At 54.8% G+C, this 17,089-nt stretch overlaps 1 protein-coding gene across 25 annotated transcripts in view, besides 1 other annotated feature; it reads right to left on the bottom strand.

Moving 5' to 3' along the window:
• The window catches only part of TFDP1 (transcription factor Dp-1), a 56,786-nt gene that overhangs the window by 29,432 nt on the left and 10,265 nt on the right, over positions 1-17,089 (bottom strand). For all 25 annotated transcript variants that reach the window (NR_026580.1, XM_017020717.2, XM_005268327.2 and 22 more), the window contains exon 3: positions 980-1,046. Coding sequence is in view for 24 of the 25 variants with exons in the window: in XM_017020717.2 (XP_016876206.1) it covers positions 980-1,046 (67 nt within the window). In the remaining variant the exon portion in view is untranslated. The remainder of the gene's footprint in view (positions 1-979; positions 1,047-17,089) is intronic.
• Positions 14,227-14,727: an enhancer, noted in NCBI's record as "H3K4me1 hESC enhancer chr13:114251630-114252130 (GRCh37/hg19 assembly coordinates)". NCBI's record gives its function as "activates a minimal SCP1, AML or CMV promoter by ChIP-STARR-seq in primed H9 embryonic stem cells {active_cell/tissue: H9 hESC(primed)}" and the evidence as "EXISTENCE:reporter gene assay evidence [ECO:0000049][PMID:30033119]".

The following is a 17,089-nucleotide window of genomic DNA, read 5'->3' as shown; positions in this document are numbered from 1 at the left end:
AGTAAAAAAAGCTAATTTTATATATGGGAATAATTAGAAAAATCTTAAGGTTCCTTTTAGGAACCCAAAACGGAAACACATCCAGGCCTCTGGGCTCCTCCCTGGGCTGATGCGACCACGTGGATGTTGCGACCAGGGCACTCAGTGGACCCACTAGGCTCTGCAGGCAGACAGGTCTTGGGACAAAGCAAGCTCTTCCACAAGCTTGTCTCCCAGGAATATCGCAACAAACCACAACGAACTACCCTGCACGCAATCCCAGATCCACACAGCACAGCCTCTCACGAGGGGCCAAGCATCGCACATCAAAGCTTCTAAATGGCGTGCCCTGACCCAGCACAGGTAAGGAGTTTACCCAGGAAGTAACCAGGTGAGCACACACACCTTCACGAACGTAAACCACAGCACCACTCCGAGGTGTAAAATGGAAACTACCAACCGTGGGACCCTGGAAGAGGTGGCTTCAACCTCTCCAGCTGACTTCCTCCCCTGGATTCCCCAAGACAAGAAAAACGGCTCTTCCTCAAGAGCTAGTAAAATACACACGCGAAGCGTTAAAGGTGGCAAGTGCCTGCTTCGCAGAAGGCATGCACCATGGTAGGCCCATCTTTCCTCAAACAGCACAGGTGAGGCCGGCCTCTGGAAGAGCCCACACCACAGCTGAAACGTCATTATCTTTGGGTGGAGAGAAAACAAACTATCTTTATTTCTTCTTTACAATATTCTACCTTTTCTAAACTTTTGCAAATAGTATACATACCTTAGAATTCAAAATCCACAAAGCTACTGGTGTGTGTGCAGGCTGTGTTCTAAATGCTAGAAGGCTCCTACGCCCACCCTCCTGGGTTCCCGGAGCACAAAGGTGCCCATGCAGGAGATGCCATCATTAGCAAGAGGCTTCAGCGTCAACAGCTTCATAAACATGTGAAGCTTCATGCATTCATCAACACAAGAGTGTGTCCAGAACAGGTGCCCTTACCTTTCCCGGGACTAAGGTTCTGGTCTATGAAGACCTTGAGTTCTCCGTTGGCTTCAATTAGACCGGCCTGCGGAAAGCAACAAAACAATAATAAATATGACAGCTAAAAGGGCTACGAAACTAGGGGTGTTTAAAACCACCCTCAAGGGTTCTATCAAATAACGTCATAAAAAGGCAGAAGGACCACAGTTAAGCAAGCAACTCCAGGAACAACCAGGAGAACGCCAGGTCCGGAGAAGGAATGTCACTATCACCATGGCACCTACAGGGCCAAAACAGCACCGTCCACCAGGAATTAGCCATGACTTACAGAATCCACACAGTCTTGAAAAATCAAGATTGTAATGATGAGGAAAATGTTCACAATAGAATGTTAAACACATTCTATTTAAGTGTGGCACAGGTAAGAGTACAGCCACACAGCAAGGACACACGTGTGACGGCACAGCCACAAAGCAGGGGTACACACGTGACGGCACAGCCACACAGCGGGGGCACATGTGTGATGGCACAGCCACAAAGCAGGGGCACGTATGATGGCACAACCACACAGCGGGGGCACACGTGATGGCACAACCACACAGCGGGGGCACACGTGATGGCACAGCCACACAGCGGGGGCACATGTGTGATGGCACAGCCACAAAGTGGGGGCACGTATGATGGCACAACCACACAGCGGGGTCACACGTGTGATGGTACAGCACACGGTGGGGGCACACGCATGACAGTACAGTCACACGTCAGGGCACACACGTGACAGTACAGCCACACAGCAAGCACACACAAACGTGATGGTACAGCCACATGGCAGAGGCACATGAGTGATGCTACAGCCACACAGGACACACACGCATAACGGTACAGCCACACAGCAGGGGCACACACATGACAGTATAGCCACACAGCAGGGGCACACACATGACAGTACAGCCACACGGCAAGAGCACACGCGTAATGGTACAGCCACACGGCAAGACACATTAAGGGGGACTCCTATCAGAACTGTCAACCTCATCCTGCTTCTCCAGAAAGCCATGGAAATCTTTTATTCTCTTCCTAGTCCCAACAAAATGTCAGTCCCCAGAGGCCGGGCTCTGCGAAGGAAAAGCCATCCCAAGAGGAGGCCTTGGAGGGGCGGCCTCTGGGAGTGGCGTGCTGGCAGCACAGGCGTGGCAGCCTGAGTGTGAGCACACACACGGCAGCATGCTTGAGTACCCAGGGTCCCAGGAGGCCACGCACCTCAGGCAGTGGGGCTGGGGGGCAGCGATGAGGGTTGCTGCCTTCGCTGAGGGTAAAGGCACCCGAATGCACCCTTCCGTAGATAACACCATGGGAACAAGGAGACGCCACAACCCCCTGGTGCCACCCAGGTAACAGTCAGGGGACACACCATGGGAACAAGGAGACGCCAAGACCCCCTGGTGCCACCCAGGTAACAGTCAGGGGACACAGGGGAGGCAGCCAAGACTCAAAGCCCAGCAAGACGACCACTGCAAGACCACTGGGCAATTTCCTGGGCATCTTCACAACTCCACTTCCCCACAGAAGATGAGGAAAGCCAGGGCTGCCCGTAAGCCCGAGGACCACGGCAAGTTCACATCCTAGGACGCTAAAAAAAAAAGACAGTCACTACTGCCGTTCCAACCGGGTCCAACTGCACTTTCTGAGTCTAGCTGTCCAGCAGGCACCGTCCCAGCCCTGGCTGTGGGACTTGCTGGGAGGTGGGTGGATGTCCCATTGACCACCTGCACACAGAGCCAGGTGAGGTAGGATGTGCAGGGGGGCTGCATCCCACTGGCCACACCAAGGGGCTGGGATCAAGGCTCCACCACCCCCAGGGGCCCACAGACGGCGTGTGACGCAATATCAAGGAAAAGAGCCGTGGAGCAAGAACCTGACTGCACCCAGGAGGCGCTCTGAGGCCACCACACCTGACACAGCACCGGCACAGGCCCCGCAGAGGGCTACGCTGGCACAAACATACGACACCAGGAAAAGCATGACGTGCGGTCAACGATGGTGCCTGAAGGCCGGCATGCGTGGCTCTGTGCTGGCACCCATTAGTGTGTTACAGGTGTGAGACGCTAGATGTCCTGGTCACCATGAGGGCACTACCATCCAGGCCAGGTTGGTAAGGCCGAGACGTTAAGCCTGGGAGAGAAAGGGCAGGAGGGTACGGCCAGTTAGAAAAAGGCGAGTGGGTCTGGACAGGTGGCTGAGCCAGGTACACACGGCCAAGTGGCTATGGTGGGCTAGAACCCACAGGAGATGAAGGCCAAGACACTACAGCAAAGTAGGTTAAGGTCAGGTGACTATGACCAAGGAGGTGAAAGCAAGCACACTGGGTAAGACCGAGAAGTTAAACACAAGGTGGGTCAGCCAGGAGAGAACAGCCAGGTGCGTAAGGCCAGAAGGGTAAGGCCAGGAAGTTACAGCCAGGAGGTTAAGGCGTGGTGGGTGAGGCCAGGAGTCAAGGGCCTCGGCCAGGGCTGGTCAGGCTTGGGCCCAGCTCGAGCATCTGTGTGGGAGTGCAGCATGCTCCAGCCCCGTGTGCGTGGAGCTGGAGGAAGCCCTGCTGGGGGTCTGACGGAGCAAGTCCCAGCTGTGGAGGATGACTGCCCTCCCGCCTGCACAGCCAGGGCTCTGCCCAGTTCCCCTGTATGGTGTCTGCACTCCAGCCCCAGCCTGTGGCAACCGTGGTTCAGGCTCTGAAGCCATTTTGCACCGCTGTCCCTGTCTATCGCCCTCCCTCACCAGGATGAGCATGAGCGCCTGCTAAAAAGTACAGGGCCAGGGACTGGCACTGGGAACGCACTGCCCCGGGTGGCACAGTGCCTTTTTTCTGTTGGCGGGGGCAGCCTGATGGGCAGAGACAGAGTGGGGGCTGCTCCTCCCCATGCCTGCAGGGCATGTGGAAGACCCCCAGGAAGAGCGGCTGCCTGCGGCCTCCATGAAATGCCAGCAAGTCAGGCCCCAACAGAGGAGCCCCGCCCAGGGCCACCGTGCACTCAGCCACGGGCCTTGCCCAGCCACTGTGACGCTCGTGTCTGTAAATGTTCCACCGCTGCTCACAGAAAACACTCCTCATATGCACCAACACAGGCCCTGCGAGAACACCAACTGCCCCTGCCCAGGGGAGACCTCGGCAGCCATGGGGGCTGCGGCACAGGTGGCCTGGATGTTTCTCACTCTGCCCCGTCGACTTGGTGGTCAGCTCCGGCTGGGATGGGAACTCAGCAATCCCTGAGTAGCCCACACCCAGGAAACCCAGGTCCAGGAAACCACTGGCCCCCGTCACCGCCACCCACTGGCACAGCCCCTCCTTGCGGGCAGTGCTTCTTCCTCCCCAGCAGCTGCCCAGGGAGTTAACGGGCCAGGTTGTGGACCCGGGCGGCCCTTCCAGGAAGTCTAAGGTGGGGTGAAGGGGCCGGTCTTTCTCCGCCAGCCTCAATGTTGTGACATAAAGCTCTGGGGTAACTGCAGGGCATGCGCAGCACACAGTGACGGCAGCAATGAGGAGAGAACAAGGACGACACGTGGGCCAGTGTCGCACTGCTGACACAAGCGTGGCATCGTCTGTGGTTCCAACTGTGTCTGCCACAAGCATCATTTTGCTCCAGGAAAAACCCTTTCATTCCCCTTCCTTATGCAACTCATGCTTCTGAAAGTGGAAATGGCAGACAGCACTTCAAAATCCACAGCCTTGGCCTGCTGGTTCCACCAGCCACATGCCCAGGTGTCACCAGATCCCTGGCAAGCACCCGCAGCTCACGGCTGGCCCCTTTCCTCAGCTTTCTCCTGGAGAAGCTCTGGGCTCAGGAGGCAGGGGGATGAATGACGCCCTGCGCTGTCTCAGCCGCAGCAACAGTGCTGCCGCTGCCGCCTGCACGGCTCTGTCAGGGGCCAGCCTCCCTGCAGGGTGTTTGGCGGCATCTTCAGCCTTCATTCACCCTGGGTGGGACAACCAGAATCATCTCCGGACACTGCAAAGCCACCCTCAGCTAAGAACCACGGACTCAGAGGCATGACTTCTGGGGCCGCAGGGCCTCTAAAGCAGACCTCTCCAGAGCTGGCGGATGAATAAATGCACACCTGGCTACAGTCTCAACCTTAATTTCCAACTAGGAACATGAGGCTGTAAGACAGGAAATCCAACCTAAAAGGAAACCACACGGTGGGTTCCTTGGCTGCCTGTAAGCGCCTATCTTGGTGGGATGCGCTTACCCCACACCGAGTTTGACAAACACTGAAAATATTTCATAATACAATGTGTGTCAAAATCACAAGGGAAATGCAAACTCTCCTTTCCATAAAGGAAATTAGAAAACAAAACACCACCTAGACTGCCTCTGTTTACAGATCATCTGAAGAAGTCACACAAATGTTCTATAAACCAGCACTGGAGGCAGGTGAACTGGGGAGACGTGAGCGGGAGCAGGCAGCTGATGGCAGGGCTGGGGCACACAGCCTCCAGGAAGGCTGTGCGGCGTCTTCACATGTGGTCCTCCTAATCCTGCTTGGGACGGTATTTGGAAGTGACTGGGCCATGAAGGCACAGCCTCCTGGATGGAGTATGTGCCCTGATAAAGGGGCTCCCTGGCCCTTCCACCAGGAGAGGGCACGGCAAGAAGACGCTATTTACCAGCCAAGAAGTGGTTCTCACTGGACACCAAACCTACCAGGGCCTTGATGGTGGACTCCCAGGCTCCCGAGCTGTGAGCGGTGGATTCCTGTTGTTTACAAGCTGCCCAGTTCATGGTCATGGCATTCTTGTGACAGCAGCCCAAGCAACCAGAACAGGCTCCCCTGCGGACACTCACCACCACGCGGCCTTCCAACAGGCTCCCCTGCGGACACTCAACCACCGCACCGCCTTCCCACAGGATCCCCTGCGGACACTCATCACCGCGCCGCCTTCCCACAGGATCCCCTGCAGACACTCACCACCACGCCGCCTTCCCACAGGATCCCCTATGGACACTCATCACCGCACCGCCTTCCCACAGGATCCCCTGCGGACACTCATCACCGCGCCGCCTTCCCACAGGATCCCCTGCGGACACTCACCACCACGCCGCCTTCCCACAGGATCCCCTGCGGACACTCACCACCGCGCCGCCTTCCCACAGGATCCCCTATGGACACTCATCACCGCGCCGCCTTGGACACTCATCACCGCACCGCCTTCCCACAGGATCCCCTGCGGACACTCACCACTGCGCTGCTTTCCCACAGGATCCCCTGCAGACACTCACCACCGTGCCACCTTCTCCTCCCTGAACTGACTTCTGTGACCCCCAGGAGGATGGAAATAAGGGGCAACTTCTGAAGCTAGGTCACTCCCTGCCCTCTGGCGAAAGCTGGTGCCACGGTGTGAGGATACTCAAGCGGCCCTGAGGTGGTCCTGGTGCTGAGGGCTCCTCCTGCTACTGCTGCGAGGGTGAGACATCTTGGAAGCAGACTCCCAGACCCTGGCCTTGAGGCCTGCAGAGCTGGGCAACATCTCAACTGCAACTGCATGAGAATCCAGGACAGCAGCACCCAATTGAGCCACTCCCAAACTCCTGACCCACAGCCGCTGTGTGGGAGAAGACAGCTTATTGTTGTTTTAAGCCACTACATTTGTCTGTTTCACAGCAATAGATAAGTAATACAGCAGTTAAAGAGTTTTCTCTAGAACATTAAAAAAAAGTGGTTCTTTTCATCAACCAGGTCGTCACTGAATTTATCTTTGAATGGATCTTGAACCCTGCATAAACTTAGTTCCGCACGGAAAGATCACTGGCACCATCACCTGAAAAACGAGATCCCACTCAACACCAGCCTTTCAAAGCCACACTCACTCTCTGACACCCACCCCTTTCCTGGAAGGTGACCCCCAAGGACAGGAAAGAATGTTATGACGCCCCCCCGCCCCAACTGACAACAGGAAGAGTCGCAAGAACTAAGTGCAGCATCGTCCCTAAAAAAGACAGTGACGATGCCATGATTTAATTCCCATTTGCCGTCAAACACAACGCCCTGCTGAGGCTCCACACAGCCAAGAGGAAGCTCAGCCAGCCACGTCCCGTCCAAAACCTACCAAGAGCTTGCAGTTCATGACTCGCTGCTGCTCACCTTTACAAAGACCACAACCTCCTCACATGGGCTCCACCTCGCTCCTGGGACGGGGCCTGCACACAGCAGTAAACGTGCAGACCCTCAGCCTCCATTCCTGCCTGAGACAACAGCACCAGACCCCCGCTGTAACGTCAGAACGTTCAGAACCCTGTATGTGGGGTGACCGCCTGTCCTGGTTGGCCTGGAACAAAGAGGGGCTCCTATGACACAGAACTACCAGGGGTCCTGCCAGGCAGGTCCCGGGCTGGCTGTAAACGGAGGCTGCTAAGTGGGACCTGTTAACAGGACAGCCGAGGTCTGTCCGCTCAGTGCTCGTGTCAACAGGATGCGCAAGGGGTGCACGCTGGCCTGCTGGGCAACAGCAAAGTGGCCTCGGCACAAGTCCCCACTCTCCAGGCCAGGGGCCAGCTCCCATCTCAAACTCAGCACCTGAATAGGCAACCCCATTTCAGCCACACAGGATCCAAGGCCACAGCCTCCCCTGTGTCCTGCCCTTAGGAGTGTGGGTGTGAGTCTGGGTCTCTACTGACACTTTAGAACTTACTAAGACAGACCCAATTATAGCCTCTGTGGTTTTTTAATATGAAGTCATTCTTATGGGTTGATATTCAGTAGCTACTACTAGACCACAATTACCAGCTTGAGCATGTAAGGAGCTGTAGGAAAGACCCTCATGTGGGTCCTCCTTGCATTTCTTGTGGGCTGTGACCCACAGGAACTCAGTAACAAGCACCACCAAAACACAAATAGTTTAATTTGCCTTTTTTTTTTTTTTTTTTGAGACAGGCTGTTACTCTGTCACCCATGCTAGGGTGCAGTGGTAAGATCTCAGCTCACTGCAGCCTTGACCTTCCCGGTTCAAGCCATCCTTTCACCTCAGCCTCCAAAGTAGCTGGGACAGGCATGCACCCCATGCCTGGCTAATTTTTTTTTATTTGTAGTAGAGACGAGGTCTCATTACGCTGCCCAGGCTGGTCTCGAACTCCTGGGCTCAAGCAGGTGTAAGCTACCACGCCTGGCCTAGCTTCGTGTTTTTAACATATTGCTGAAATTGCTATTAATTTTAAGACATGTGCACTGGACTTATTTTCCTGTTAAATCTTTACACTCAAGATGCAACCCTACCTGCCAGTAAGGACACCTCAAGGTGCTAAACACATTAACATATAAGCCAACAGCAAAGGTGCTCCTTGGCTAAAACTAACCTTAATTTCTATTAGAAAAACTATATTCAACTGTATTTGTGTTTGTACTTCATGGAGATAACAGTAGATTATTCTCTTCTGTCTTACATTAGACAAAACCATACTATGAGTAGCAGCAGTAACAGCAAAACACACGTTCGTAAAACACGCCATGCTGCTAGAAAAAGCTGAATCAATTGAAAATAAGAACTATAAAAGATGACATCACCAGTGCCCACTCTGTGACAGGGTCTACGAATGTGACTAATTTCCATGCCAGGCCCAAAAGGGGACCTATCACTGCCGTCATCTTTAAAACACACAGGTGACCACGGTTCTCACAACCTGAAGCTGCACTTGCCTGGCCAGGATGGAGGCGCTGCCCGGGCCCTCAACGCCTCCCTCTTTGCCAGCCAGCACCCGCCAGGGTGTGTCCAGGGGGCTCCTCCCCTGGGGACACACAAGCCCTAGAGACCCAGGAGGGTGCGAGGGCATGAAGAGGACTCTCCCTTACACTCGAAGGCCCATGAGGGGGTCAGCAAGCAACACACAGCAGCCAGGTGGGGCATACACCTGGACCCCACGCTGTCTCACCCTTCTCTGCCCTGCTCTTCTCTGCACTTTCTAATCTACTGAACAACTGACCATTTCCATTGCTAACAGCTCCCCACTAGAGTATAAACCAGGCTTATCCGACCTGTGTCCTGCAGGCTGCATGTGGTCCAGGACACCTCTGCATGCAGCCCAACACAAATTTGTAAATTATACGTTTTTTTTTTTTTTTTAGCTCAACTATTGTTAGTGTTATTCTATTTTATGTGGCCCAAGACAATTCTTCTTCCAATGTGGCCCAGGGAAAACAAAAGATTTGACACCCCTGGCATCAACTCTGTGAAGCAGGAATTTTGCCTGGTAAGAAAACGGCCCAGCAGGGGCCCTGCAGTCCCGACATCACAGGTTCACAAGCCAGGCCCAGGGCAGGGCTGGAGAGAGGGACGCCAGGGCCGCACACTTCTCAGGGGGGACCCTGCAAATGATTCAGGCTTGAGGGTCACCCAGTCTCTGTCACAGCCACTCAACTCTGCCTACGCAACAGCCATAAAAGTGTCAAGGAACAATCTTAATTTCAAAAGTAAGCAGAGCTGAGAAGAAAGTGACCCAGCTGCACTGAGGGATCCCCCTGAGGACTGGAGTGGCCTGCGCCAGACCCCAGGGCAGAAAACACTTGCACTGCACATTAAACTGCATAATGAATGAAGAGACCTGGGGAAGAGGCCACTCTATAAACAGCAGCTGGGATGGGCCCCGCCTGCTACCAGGACCCTCCTGGCCCCAGCACGGGACTCCTGCACAGAACTCTCTCCGCTCCTCCTTTGACTCGTGCGGAGAACTCCATCCGCTCCCCTCTCGACTCCTGCAGGTAACTCCATCCACTCCTCCCTCAACTCCTGCGGGTAACTCTGTCCACTCCTCCCTCGACTCCTGCAGGTAACTCAGTCCACTCCTCCCTCGACTCCTGCAGGTAACTCCGTCCGCTCCTCCCTCAGCTCCTGCGGGTAACTCCGTCCACTCCTCCCTCGACTCCTGTGGGTAACTCCGTCCACTCCTCCCTCAACTCCTGCGGGTAACTCTGTCCACTCCTCCCTCGACTCCTGCGGGTAACTCCATCCGCTTCTCCCTCGACTGCTGTGGGTAACTCCATCCACTCCTCCCTGAACTCCTTCAGGTAACTCTGTCCGCTCCTCCCTCGACTCCTGCGGGTAGCTCCGTCCCTCCTCTGTCCGCTACAGGGCTACAGAGGGAGTAGCTCTGTCCTCCTCTCAGAGCTACAGAGGGAGTAGCTCTGTCCTCCTCTCAGAGCTACAGAGGGAGTAGCTCTCTCCGCTCCTCCCTCGACTCCTGCAGGTAACTCCATCCGCTCCTCCCTCAACTCCTGCGGGTAACTCTGTCTGCTCCCCCATCAACTCCTGCGGAGAACTCTCTCTGCTCCTCCCTTTTGGCTGTTGGGTTGCCCACCACAAATAGCCAGCACCTTCCGCGCACCTGGCCACAGGCCCTTCCTCTGGGGCCGGGCCTGGGACCCCAGCCTCGAGCTCCCACGAGTCCTCCTGGACCCTGGAGAGCACACCTGGGAACAAACACAACCCCAGAGCTCAGGGACGACCTCCGGTGGCCCTAGCCATCCCTTCCAGTGCCCTGGCCCTGCAGGGGCCCCCAAGTGGGCTGCCCTGCCCTGCTCCCACCAAGCACCAGAGCCTGGTGAGGGTGAGGGTGGCCTCAAGAGACCGACTCTGACCTTGCTGGCTCACCCTGAGGAAGCCACCAGCGAGCTGCCCTACGCAGGGGCCCACAAGGCAAAGTGCAAGAACACACCCCCACCAACAGCCCACAAGGAGCGGGATCCCACCAGCAGCCGGGTGAGTTAATTTGAAAGTGGTCCTGCCCAGACCAACTCAGGGCACCACAGGCCAGGGCCGCCCGGGACAGGCTGAACGGGGACCTGGGCTCCTAACAGGCACTAGGAGGTGACAGACGCTGCTGGTTCAAGTTGCTAAGTCCAGGCAGGAGACGCTGGGTGACCGCCAGGCCCAGCCCTTCTCAGCTACGGAGGCCAACACCTCCCCACCTCAGGCAAGAGGAGATGGTGCCACCACAGAGGAGGGATGCAGCAGAAAAGAACCTCGCATCTGGAGAAGATCCAGGACAGCGTGAAGGCTCATCTCACAAACACGCTCCGAGTGAGCAAAAGCATCAAGTGGGAAGAGCAGGAGGGTTCTCTCTCGTGGTCCTGGAGCCCTACGTGCAAGGCTTCTGTCTCATGGTCCTGGAGCCCCACGTGCGAGGATTCTCTCTCACGGTTCTGGGTCCTGGGTTCTCTCTTGCAGTCCTGAGTTCTCTATCACGGTCCTGGAGTTCTACGTGTGAGGGTTGTCTCTCACGGTCCTGTAGCCCTACGTGCAAGGATTCTCTCTCACGGTCCTGGGTTCTCTATCGCGGTCCTGGAGCCCTACGTGAGGGTTCTCTCTCATGGTCCTGGAGCCCTACATGCAAGGATTCTCTCTCACCATCCTGAGTTCTCTATCACGGTCCTGGAGCTCTACGTGTAAGGGTTCTCTCTTATGGTCCTGGAGCCCCACGTGCGAGGATTCTCTCTCACGGTCCTGGGTCCTGGGTTCTCTCTTGCAGTCCTGAGTTCTCTATCGCGGTCCTGGATCCCCACGTGAGGGTTCTGTCTCATGGTCCTGGAGCCCTACGTACAAGGATTCTCTCTCATGGTTCTGGGTTCTCTCTTGCAGTCCTGGAGCCCTATGTGCAAGGGTTCTCTCTCACAGTCCTGGAGCCCTAAGTGCAAGGATTCTCGCTTACGGTCCTGGGTTCTCTATCGCGGTCCTGGAGCCCTATGTGTGAGGGTTCTCTCTCATGGTCCTGGAGCCCTACGTGCAAGGGTTCTCTCTCACGGTCCTGAGTTCTCTATCGCGGTCCTGGAGCCCTATGTGTGAGGGTTCTCTCTCATGGTCCTGGAGCCCTAAGCACGAGGGTTCTCTCTCACGGTCCTGGAGCCCTACGTGCAAGGATTCTCTCTCACGGTCCTGGGTTCTCTCTCACGGCTCTGGAGCCCTACATACAAGGATTCTCTCTCACGGTCCTGGGTTCTCTCTCATGGTCCTGGAGCCCTACGTGCAAGGATTCTCTCTCACAGTCCTGGGTTCTCTCTCACGGTTCTGGAGCCCTACATACAAGGATTCTCTCTCACGGTCCTGGGCTCTCTCTCATGGTCCTGGAGCCCTACGTGCAAGGATTCTTTATCACAGTCCTGGGTTCTCTCTCACGGTTCTGGAGCCCTACATACAAGGATTCTCTCTGGCAGTCCTGAAGCCCTAAGCACAAGGGTTCTCTTTCACGGTCCTGGGTTCTTTCTCATGGTCCTGGGTTCTCTCTCACGGTCCTGGGTTCTCTCTCGTAGTCCTGGAGCCCTAAGTGCAAGGATTCTCTCTCACGGTCCTGGATGTGGAAGCGGGAGGTCAGGGCAGAGCCAGCTTCCAGGCTGCACCTACTACCTCCTCCTTGGGCCTCGCAAGGTGGGAAAAGGGCAGGCTCGCCGTGGGGACTGGCTATCAGGACACTGATCCAACAGGGCAGGGGGGACTACACCCGCGTGCCCTCACTCAATTCTAGTCACTCCCAAAGGCCCCAACACCCAACACCTTTGAGGGTTTCGAAGGATGAACATTCAGCCAGGGCAGCCCATCAACAGGGTGGAGTACGTGAGGGCGCATCAGCGAGACCAGACTCCAGCAGCCTGGAGGGGGCGAGGCTCCAATGCAAACAAACTTTCCAAATTTGAGACAACTTGAGAAATGTAAATGCTGCCTATGTGACAATAAGAGTGAATGACTATCTCTGAGAGACACATGTCAGAATATTTAATAACTACTTAATGATCACCCTGGCCCGGCAGGGAGTCACCCAGGTCCGTGACAGGGACGAGGCACCAGCACAATCTCTCTCCTTTGTGTGTGTCTGAAACGTTCCACAAATTTTTTAGAATTATCTCTGCTTATATTTATTGATGTGAAAAAAAAAAACCTAGGACAAACTGTTGAGTAAAACATAGCAGTGAACAAAACATGTGAGTTCATTTATTTAGAATTCCGTACTGTACATGTGTATTTAAACACACACATCTAGGGCATCCCCAGAAACAATCACCAAAAAGCCTTAACAGCAGAGCCCCGTTGACTGTCATTTCAGATGACTGCTTACTTTCTGACACCTTTCTGCACCCTACGTTTTTAAATAAACTTTCCATTTTCATAACCGAACAAAGCAATAAGGCGATTTCATTTTCTAAACTAAGGGAAAAGCCACACACCTAACAAGATCCATCCAGAGGTGATGAGCTGCAGGCGAGGGTGGTGCCCAACATCACCCTAAGAAAGAGTCAGAGGAAGCTGGCTACCCCGAGCGGACAGAGGGACGGCGGCCACAGAACCACAGTGTGAGCCACGTAGGGGCAGAGAACGCCTCCTCCCGGCCCCACGCAACTTAAATGACCAGGAAAGGGGGACGCAGACTCCACCCAGGAGGGCAACACGAACCCCAGGTCCTCAGGGGACAGCCTGGAGCCATCAGGCAGGGGAAGCTGAAGAGCGAGGAGGTAAGTTCATACACAATGGGAGTCACAGGAGGGCAGGTTAGGGAGGTGGGGCTGTGCTTCGGGGGCACCAGAACCTTCAGGAAACCAGTGGATTCTGAAGCCCCAGCAGGCACAGAGGGTGGGGCCCATCCACTCATGAGCAGACACTTGGAAGGCAGGCACCCAGCATCCCTCTCCCAGGAGAGGCTGCTCTAATCTATATAATCTATAATGAGACTTTCAGCCACCACTCTAAAGCCTGCTTTTCCAGCAGAAAAACACCAAATGATGCTCTAGTCTACAACAGGCACAAATGCAAAACTGCCTGGAAAACCCATACATCAGTTCCACAGCCGTTAAAAAGGTGCTTGCATCCTGCCTCCCGCTGTCTTTGGGGTGGGCTGCACCGGGTTGTGTGGTATGAACCTGGCAGGCACGGTTTTCCAGGGCTGGGGTGGTGGGGAGTAGAGGGACCAGACGGGAACTTGGCCAGGCACCAGCAAGTGGCTCCCAACACAGTTGGATTCTGCACTCTTGATGACAACTCACCTGAAATGTCGGCGGCTCCACTCCCTTTTCTTATGAAGTCACTGCTGCATTTGAACACCTCGTGCCTGCAGCCCTCCTGGAAGCAGCAGCCTGCAGGGGAGGCCTGCTGCCTCGGAGACTCCACCTCTCCCGTTTCTGGCCACCTGCCACCCCCTCAATCATTCTAAACAGTGCCCAGGGAAAGCCAGGGCCCCTCTGTGCAACACTGGGGCAAAGACAGAGGCCGCAGAGTCCCCAGCGTGTCTGGATGCTGGCTCCTGAGCTCAGAGCCCTCACATTGGACACACGGCAATGGCCGTCCCTCCAGCTCTGATCAGATCAGCCCCTCGTGGCTGGGAGGAGGTCTTACACAGCGCCCAGGCCTGTGAGGTGCTCCTAATTTCGTCAAAGCCTTATGTTCACTCTTTTGAATCCATCCAAGTTCAGCCAGGACGTGGCAAGCAGCTGACGCCCTCCTTTCTCCCTCACTGCCCTGTAGGGAGGGCAGCTGGCCGCCCACGTGGGACAGGCGAGCACACAGAGGCCAGGAGTCCCCACCTGAGGTCGCAGGGCTAGCAAGGTCCAGCCGTTCAGGCCCCGGGACCCCTGCCTCACACAGCTTCCTCCACAACACATCACACAGGTTCCGGTGGGAAAATCCTCCAGAGGGAAATGCAGCACACGCTGCCAGACAGCGCGACGGGGTCCAGGCCTGGGGCCTCAGGGAAGAGCCGCCCCATAGCCCTCGCCCGAGTATACCGCCAGCCTGTGGGAGGTGGAGACCATCTCCATTCATCTATTTATTTATCATAGCAGCTAACTTTAAAAATAACAATATGTTAATCTAATTTCTCTTCTGGAAAAGTTTTTACATTATACTCTTTTCCCTTTTAGAAAGAATTTCCATTTCCATTTTAACAAAAATCAAGTCATCCAAGGACAGAGTGAGCCACCGGCACTCTCAGAAACCCTCCTCCAGGGTGGCCTGGGGTCAGAACGGAGCGGCAACCCCGGCCAGACAGGGGGTATCCAGAGGGCCCAGGACACCCACCCTGACAATGGCGCCGGGCAGGCACCAGAGCCGCAGCAGACTCAGGTGCGGGGTTTGACGCCCACCCACAAGGATGCACAGTGAGGCAAGCTCAGGACAGGCTGGGGCGAGGGGACGCGCAGCCTTTCTGTCTCAACAGTGAGCAAAAACAGGGCTCCAGGGAACAAATGCCCAAAAACACGAAGCAGGGCTTCCAGGATCAGCATCCACATGTGATAAATGCCACTGGAACCACAGCCTGGGATGGGGACTGGCATCAAGATCAACCTCGATGCTGACCACCTTCATCCCCTTCCACCCCAGAATAGGATTTGGTCTGGCCACTCCAATGGGAACTGCTTTTCCATTTGTTAGAGAAAAAAGAGGTTAAGTCCGGGCAAAAGTCATCGTGGCTAGCCGACTCCACCGCTGGCCTGAAGAGCTCCCAGACACGGAGCCTACAGACCAGGCTTCCAGTTCTGTGGCTGCACACCCCGTGAGCTGTCAAATGTGTGACTCCTCCTCCCCAACCTGGCCGTGCTGGGGAGGGGACACCCAGGGTCTCCTGAAGCAAGAGGAACCCCTCATCCACAGCCAGCTCAACTCGGGCTACCGGGATGACACCGAGGCAGACATCTGTCCTCCATGCTGCATCGTTCCAGATAAGGCCCCTCAGCTTAAAAACGACTCCCGGAGTCAAAGGATGCCCTAAAGCAGGAATGGCCTCCAAGAGTCAATAACTGGGTAAGACATATGACCTCAAACTCAGGCATGAAAACAAAGTCAGAGGCTGAACTCCCACCACGGTCATCTCCCTCTTCATCCTGCTTCCCTGCAAAATATAATTTGGGTTCTATCAATAGTGGTGACACGAAATATTTTCATTCAAGCCTTGATTTTTCTTAAAGGCAAAAGAAATAGTGGAGCCTAAAATAAGTCCCATACAAGTTACTCCGAGCCATTAATACTTTTTTTTTTTGAGACGGAGTCTCACTCTGTCGCCCAGGCGGGAGTGCAGCGGCGCCATCTTGGCTCACTGCAAGCTCCGCCTCCTGGGTTCACACCATTCTCCTGCCTCAGCCTCCCAAGTAGCTGGGACTACAGGTGCCCGCCACCACGCCCAGCTAACTTTTTGTATTTTTAGTAGAGACGGGGTTTCACCATGTTAGCCAGGATGGTCTCGATATCCTGACCTTGTGATCCGCCCGCCTCAGCCTCCCAAAGTGCTGGGATTACAGGCGTGAGCCACCGCACCCGGCCGCCATTAATACTTTCAAGGAGAGGAAGTAAATGACTACACAGCAGCTAAAAAGCCTGACGGCTATACCTCACACTGTGCTGAAAGCGACCTGAAAAGACCAGCATCTGCACTCACAGACATGCACGCGCACAGGCAATTTCACCTCCAGGAATTCATCCTAAGACTCATCCTGGATTTGTGCAAATTTGGGAAGATTTAACTGGAAACCACTAGAATCCCCAACCACAGGGGAGTGGGTAATTACTGAGACACATCCATGCAGCAGGAAGAGCGCTCCTAACTCCACCGCCTTTCCTGTAAAGCACCAGGCTGACAGGACTCTCTCGGACAGATCCACATGTCTCAGACTCAGCCTTGCTCATTCCAGACACCCCTCTATACCAGTGGCACTGTTAGCAGCATCCTGGGAAAACTGCAAACAACCCAGGAGGCTGCACTCCGTGTCCTGAGATGTCTTTTATGTTCTCCATTCAGTCTACAGAAATCAAAACCCAGTATGGTGGGCGTGGCTTGAAGGGGTGGCCCACTCTCCAAGAAGGGGCGTTCAGTCCAGAGCCAAGAGATTTGGGGACCAGATGCACATTTGTTTGAATGTAAAATGAAGTGTTTAGGTACAGCGTCTTTTTTTTAATTATCTCCCACGTTAACCCACTTTTTCAGTAACTGACCATCTACGACTCCCCAACGTACCAAAAACATACAGCTGCTGAAAACATGGTAGAAAAAAATAACTGACCAGAGAAAACACTGACAATATACTGAGGTGAAAAGATTAGAAACAGAAGGTACAGCACATTCCCATCTTGGAAAAGCTGCCTTTATTACACACGGCTAAATAGAAATCCAA

Source organism: Homo sapiens, chromosome 13, assembly GCF_000001405.40.
Source record: "Homo sapiens chromosome 13, GRCh38.p14 Primary Assembly".
NCBI lineage: Eukaryota > Metazoa > Chordata > Mammalia > Primates > Hominidae > Homo > Homo sapiens.
This window is presented reverse-complemented; position numbering and strand designations above follow the sequence as displayed.